The sequence below is a fragment of the Homo sapiens genome, chromosome 7 (genome assembly GCF_000001405.40).
Source record: "Homo sapiens chromosome 7, GRCh38.p14 Primary Assembly".
NCBI lineage: Eukaryota > Metazoa > Chordata > Mammalia > Primates > Hominidae > Homo > Homo sapiens.
In genome coordinates, this window is record NC_000007.14 from 68,405,057 (window position 1) to 68,412,812 (window position 7,756).

General features: G+C 35.1%; 1 annotated feature.

The window, feature by feature from the left end:
• Positions 4,643-5,419: an enhancer, noted in NCBI's record as "OCT4-NANOG-H3K27ac hESC enhancer chr7:67874686-67875462 (GRCh37/hg19 assembly coordinates)". NCBI's record gives its function as "activates a minimal SCP1, AML or CMV promoter by ChIP-STARR-seq in primed H9 embryonic stem cells {active_cell/tissue: H9 hESC(primed)}" and the evidence as "EXISTENCE:reporter gene assay evidence [ECO:0000049][PMID:30033119]".

The window sequence follows — 7,756 nt, forward strand, 5'->3', positions numbered from 1 at the left end:
AGCTCGTGAGATCTTATCAGGAAGATGCTGATGACCAGATTCAGGTGTTTGTATCTATTGGGAGCTGCCTTTCCCTGGCACCAGCTGCAGCCAATTATTATTTTAGCAAGAGAGCGTAACAACCACCTGACCATCACCTGATGGTCGCCTGACATGCCTGGTAGCGGCTGGAACTTCTCCTCTTCTGCCCTGCTCATGCCTGACTAGCTACCTACTCAAACAGTCTTGATGTCAAATTAGACAAATAGACCAACACAATAGGGCTTCCAAAAATAGACCCACACATACATGGACAACACATTTTATTTAAAAAAGTGAAATTCAACTCAAAGGAGGAGTGATAGCCTTTTCAAGAACTGATGCCAGAACAAGTCAACATTCACACACACACACACACACACACACACACACGAGCTTCTATCCATACCTCGCACCCTATAGAAAAATTAACTGAAAATAAATTGTAAAATTGACTGTCAAATCTACAACCATAAAACACCTCAAATAAAATATAGAAGAAAATCATTGTGTATGTGGATTGCCCAGAAAATTATGAACTATGATATTAGGTTGGTGCACAAGTTATTGCAGTTTTTGCCATTTGCTTTTAATGGCAAAAGCCACAATTACTTGTGCACCAACTTAATACCACAAGCACTACCATAAAAGAATGCATTCATAAATTAGGGATCATCATATTGCCTAATTATGTGCTGCCTCAAACCAGTGACAGAAAGCAGAAAAGTAGTTGCCTGGGGTAGGGCGGATGGGGAGAAAATACAAAGGAACATACCAAAAAAAATCTTAGGGATGATGGATGATCTTGCTTCTGATTATTATTTCACAGGAGTATTCCTATGTCAAAACTGATGAAATTGTACACTTCAAACATTGGAAAGTTACTATATGTTAGTTGTACCTCAATAAAGATGTTCAAAATAAATACTAAAAATTTTAAAAATGGAAAAGTAACAGAGACTTCAGGGAAAAAGCAGGGGATGCTGGGTAATAAAAACCAAAGAGAAACTAGTATCTCAGCAGGGAGAGAGGGGTCAGGAGTTGGCACGCTGAGGTTGTGTCACATGAGGAAAGACAAGGTCCACATGTGTAAAATTGAAACAGTCCCCACAGAGTTAATAAAAATTACATGCCAAGGCTGGGTGCAGTGGCTCATGCCTGTAATCCCAATACTTTGGGAAGCCAAGGGAGGTGGATCACCTGAGGTCAGGAGTTCGACACCAGCCTGGCCAACATGGCAAAACCCCATCTCTACTAAAAACCATAAATCAGCTGGGCGTGGTGGCGGACACCTGTAGTCCCAGCTACTCAGGAGGCTGAGGCAGGAGAATCACTTGAACCTGGGAGGCGGAGGTTGTAGTGAGCAGAGACCATACCATTGCACTCCAGCCTGGGTGACAGAGTGAAACTCCATCTCAAAAAAAAAAAAAATTACATACCAGGTTCTGGACAAAAATAGAGTTATGATTAAGCATTAATTGTGCTGCACTTTGGCCCACTTCCTTCTTGCTAAAAGTCTCATTTCACTCAATACTGACTGTGCACTTCCATGGTTTCTACAGACAAGATAACTGATGTTAAAATCATAAGGCTTTTGTTTAAGGGTCACTGAAGATGTTTTACAGACCTGGAATTCCAGCAACCAGTTCTAAGACCCCCATGGAGGAAATGGATCAGCATGAGAATGCAGCTTCTTCCCCTCCCTGTCGCATGACTTCACCTTGAACTCTTCCATCTGTCAACGATCTCCACACTTCGAAGTACACTCCAAAAACCTAACCCCAAACTTGTCGGAGAATCAGATTTAAGGTTTCCTCCCATTTCCTTGTTTGGTGACCCTCCAATTAAACCTCTCTCTCTGCTGCAATAAGGTGTCTTGTGGATTGACCTGCTTTGCACATTAGGCAATGAACCTGTTATGGTGACAAAAGGAAGCCAATGAGCGTATCTCTCTCATAGGGCTGTTGTGAGAATTAACTTGGTCTCTATGTAAAATGCAATGATTGTAATAAGCAAGAAAAAAATGTTAGTTACTAGGATTGAGAAGAGAGAAATCGCCCAGAGTATTATGAGCCAGGTGAGGTATGCAAAATTTACCAGGTCCAGAGAGACAAGAGTATGAAATTTCGGTCATTCCCCGTGCCTGAGGGCAATTGTTTAAAGTGATTTTGTTCCTAACTAGCTGACTGACCTGTTATCTTCCTGTTTCTGAAATTTGTGATACAAAGAACAATGTTATAGCTTATGTATTTTAAATGTAAATTATTGGTAAACAATGTAGAAATTGCCTCTTCTTTTTCTTTAAAAATTCACTTGCAACAGTTGCTAATCAGAGTGTATAATTCAGGTCAACTTGAATCTATGTTCCCCAGTTGCAATCCTCAAGCTTGCCCCAAATAAACTCTCTACTTATATTAATTTTGCCTCAGTTTTTTTTTTTCCTTTAAGGTTGACAATTTAAATGAAAGGTCTAGGTTAATTCCATAGTAGTATGGGACACAGAATTACTTTCAGCTGGGAAGAAGGTGGAAATCAAGGCTGGCTTCCTGGGGGTGGTGCTGTCCAAGGTGTTTGAACCAGAGCAACTCCATCTTGAATAGGGGCTGGTAGAAATAAGGCTGAGACCTACTGGGCTGCATTCCTAGGAGGTTAGGCATTCTAGTCACAGAATGAGATAGGAGGTCAGCACAAAATACAGGTCACAAAGACCTTACTGATGAAACAGGATGCAATAAAAAAAGCTACCCAAAGTCCACCAAAACCAAGATGGTGATGAGAGTGACATCTGGTCATCCTCACTGCTCATTAAATATGAATCATAATACATTATACATTAGCATTATATATATAATATATAATTGTGTATAATTATATTATGTACAATATATTATATATACAATTATATATAATTATATCGTATATTAATATAACTGTATTATATATTAATTATATATACAATTATATATAATTATATTATATATTAATATAATTGTATTATATATTAATTATATATACAATTATATATAATTGCATATATATAATATATATTACATATATTATGTAATTTATATTATATATATATTTTATATTATATTATTATTACATATATATAATTATATATGTATAACATATATATAATATGTAATTATATATACAATTATATATAATTATATTATATATTAATATATAATATAATTATATATGCAATTATATATAATTATATTATATTAATATATAATATAATTATATATACAATTATATATAATTATATTATATTATATATATAATATTATATATAATATTATATTATAATTATATAATATAATTATATATACAATTATATATGATATATTTTATTATATATATAATATTATATATAATATTATATTATGATTATATAATATAATTATATATAATTATATTATATTACCGTATAATATAATTATATATACAATTATATATAATTATATTATATTACTATATAATATAATTATATATACAATTATATATAATTATATAGTAATATATAATATAATTATATATACAATTATATATAATTATATTATATAGTGATATATAATATAATTATATATACAATTATATATAATTATATTATATAGTATTATATAATATAATTATATATACAATTATATATAATTACATATTATATAATACTATATAATGTAATTATATATAATTATATTATATACAATATATAAATATATATAATATAATTATATTATATATAATATGAAATATATATTATATGTAACATAATTACATTATACATAACATATTATATATTATATATTATATCATTACATATATTATATATAACATATTATATCATTACATATATTATATATAATATATTATATCATTACATATATTATATATAATATATTATATCATTACATATATCATATATAATATACTATATATGTAATGCTAATATATAATGTATTATGATTCACATTTAATGAGCAGTGAGGATGACCAGACGTCACTCTCATCACCATCTTGGTTTTGGTGGGCTTTGGGTAGCTTTTTTAAATAATATATATTATATTATATATTATATAACATGTATATTATATATATAATATATAATATAATATATAATATATTACATATAATATATGTAATATATTATTTATATTATATATAATATATAAAATATAATATATAATATATTATATTATAAAATATATAGTATATTATTATATTATATATCATATATAATATTATTTATATTATATATCATATATAATATTATTTATATTATATATCATATATAATATTATTTATATTATATATATTATTTATATTATATATATTGTATATAATATTATTTATATTATATATATATGGCACAAAGTCAGCTCACTGCAACCTCCGCCTCCCCAGTTCAAGCGATTCTTCTGCCTCAGCCTCCCGAGTAGCTGGGACTACAGGCGTGTGCCACCATGCCAGGCTAATTTTTGTATTTTGTACTTTGTATTTTGTATTTTTAGTAGAGACAGGGTTTCACCATCTTGGCCAGGCTGATCTCAAACTCCTGACCACAAAAGACCCACGCACCTCGGCCTCCCAAAGTGTTGGGATTACAGGCATGAGCCACTGCACCTGACCTATTCCTTTACTTTTTTAATAAACTTGCTTTCATTTTATTCTATGGACTTGCCCTGAATTCTTTCTGGTGAAAGATCCAAGAACCCTCTCTTGCAGGTCTGGATCAGAGCTCTTTCCAGTTAACAGTGCCATTCGATTGAAACCATGAAGGATACAATACACTGTTATTTAAATGTGTACTTCTCTATGGCATGGACAGTATATTCTCTTTTCACTCCTTCCCTCACCATTACAATGCCAGCCCCCAGCATAGGGGTTTTAGCCTTTGGTAAAAAAATCCCTTTGGTAAAGTCACAAAGTCATGGAATTTTACATTTGAAAGAGACCTCAGATAGCAGCTAGTTCAACTTCTTTGTTTTACAAGCAATTAGATTGTACTTCATTTTAAAGGAATTCAAGCATAAAGGAAAGAAGGCAGATTTTTGACCTAGAGGTGTCTTCAGGCAATCCTGTCAACCTTTGTGGGCCTCAGGTGTTTTATATGTAAAACAAGGGCACAGTTACTGCCTGAGGACAGTGGGTAAACCTGGGAGCCACCCCTTTTAGGTGACAACGTGGATTCTTGTATCATTCTCCTTTTAAAGTCTGAAGAACATTGGAAGTTTGGACAAAGCTTGCTTAATCTTATAAGTTATCCAAAAAAAAAAAAAAAAGGTAGAAAAGAGGGAAGGAAGGAAGGAAGGAAGAAGGAAGGGAAGGAGGGAGGGGGGAGGGAGGGAAGGAAGGAAGCTTGTGCGTTATGAGAAAAAGTGCACAAACTTGGAGAAACTATGCAAGAGCAAGCTTGTCCAACCCACGGCCCAGGGTCTGCATGCAGCCTAGGATGGCTTTGAATGTGGCCCAACGCAAATTCATAAACTTTCTTAAAACATTATTGTTACAGGAAAGGAGTCCTGATCCAGACCCCAAGAGAGGGTTCTTGGATCCCACACAAGAAAGAATTCAGGGCAAGTCCATAGAGTAAAGTGAAAACAAGTTTATTAGGAAAGTAAAGGAATGAAAGACTGGTTACTCCATAGCCAGAGCAGCCCCGAGGGCCGCTGGTGGCTGATTTTTGTGGTTATTTCTTGATGGTATGCTACACAAGGAGTGGATTATTCATGCTTCTCCTTCTTAGACCATATAGGGTACCTTCCTGACGTTGCCATGGCATTTGTAAACTGTCATGGCGCTGATGGGAGCGTAGCAGTGAGGACGACCAGAGGTCACTTTCGTCGCCATCTTGGTTTTGGTGGGTTTTGGCCAGCTTCTTTACTGCAGCCTGTTTTATCAGCAAGGTCTTTATGACCTATATCTTGTGCCAACCTCCTATCTCATCCTGTGACTAAGAATGCCTTAACCATCTGGAAACGCAGCGCGGTAGGTTTCAGCCTCATTTTACCCAGCTGTTATTCACGATGGAGTTGCTCTGGTTCAAATGCTTCTGACATTATGAGATTTATTTGCGATTTTTTCTTTTTTAGCTCATTAGCTATTGTTAGTGTCAGTTTATTTTATGTGTAATCTAAGACAACTCTTCTTTCAACGTGGCACAGAAAAGCCAAAAGATTGGACACCCCTGTTCTAGAGTCTTCATTTCAAAACCAGCTCCTGCATGTGAATCTGGGGTGATTCTGAGTATGTCAATGTCAGCTGAATCACTTCACTTTTTCACTAGACATCCTCACAAGGAGATCTTGTTATCATTGGATGAGGATCTTGGCTTCACCACCACAGAGAAAATAATCACAAGCTCAGAAATTTATTAAAAATTCATTTGTAGCACTTGTGCTCGTGCACTGAATATTACAGTTGATTCTTGTTATTCACAGTGGTTATTGTCTGTAAAATCAACATGAACACTGAATGAATAAGTGGATACTGAACCATTGCGCCTACAGGAAATACAGGTACTTATTCCTGTGGGTCTTTGATTATGATATTTTCATAAACCAATTAATATAGGAGTTAAGGAGAAATGATTTAGGCAGATAGTGATGGTAAGGAAGTCCTTAGTAGGGTTTTCCTTTTAATGAAAAGCAGCCCTCAAATCATTTCCTTTTCTAACAAAGAGCAGCCTGTAAACTCGAGCTGCAGACATAGAAAGGCAGGCCAGAAGCTTGCACAGGTGAATGCCAGCAGCTGTACTAGTAGGAAAGGGGCTACCTGGGACCAGGCAGGTCCAACATGGCGGCTTCATCTTCCCTTCTCTTTGCCAACCGCGTGTACAGTAAGGAGCAGACAACATGGCAGCAGGCCAAGCAAAGACCCTATTTGCATAATAAGATTAGGATGGGGCAGCCAGCTTCCCCACACATTATGTAAACGTCACACCTGGTCCAACCAATCTGTGGGCCCTATGTAAATCAGACACCACCTCCTCAAGCCTGTCTATAAAATCTGGTGCCCTTCCCCGCAGGCCAGCTTTTCCCTTTTGGATGCCCCTCTCTTTCATAAGAGAGAGAGCTGTTCTCCTTTCTCTTTCTTTTGCCTATTATACCTCTGTTCCTAAACTCACTCCTTGTGTGTGTCTGTATTCTTGATTTTTTTAGTACAAGATGATGAACCCCAGGTATTTACCCCAGGCAACAATGCTGCTTCACAATCAGTAAATAGCCTTGTTTTATGTATCCTTCTGTTTCAAAACACCTTATTGACTATATTTGTGGATTCATTAACAGCATACCCATGGCCAACAGCACTGTGGCTCATGCCTGAATGAAGCTTATCTAACACACATATTTTCTCCATAAGACTGTCAACAGAAGAAAAACAAGGTTTGTAAATTTGAAAAGGAGGGCTTTATTTCTTATAAAGGGTTGCAGCCTGTAGGCTGGGAAGTGTAGCCTTTGGCACAAGCTGAAAGCAAGCATTTCAAGGGAGGGATACATTTAGGGAATAGGAATCTATGTTGAGCAGGGTGGCCAAATATGCATATTCAATAAGCTAGAGGAAGAGTCATGAATATTTATAAAAGGAGAAATATGCACATGTGTGATGGAGCTTTGTGCCTCTTCATGGCTTGCATGTTAAAAAACTGGCAGCATTAGTGCCTGCAATCCCAGCACATTGGAAGGCCGAGGCAGGTGGATCACCTGAGGTCAGGAGTTCAAGACCAGCCTGGCCA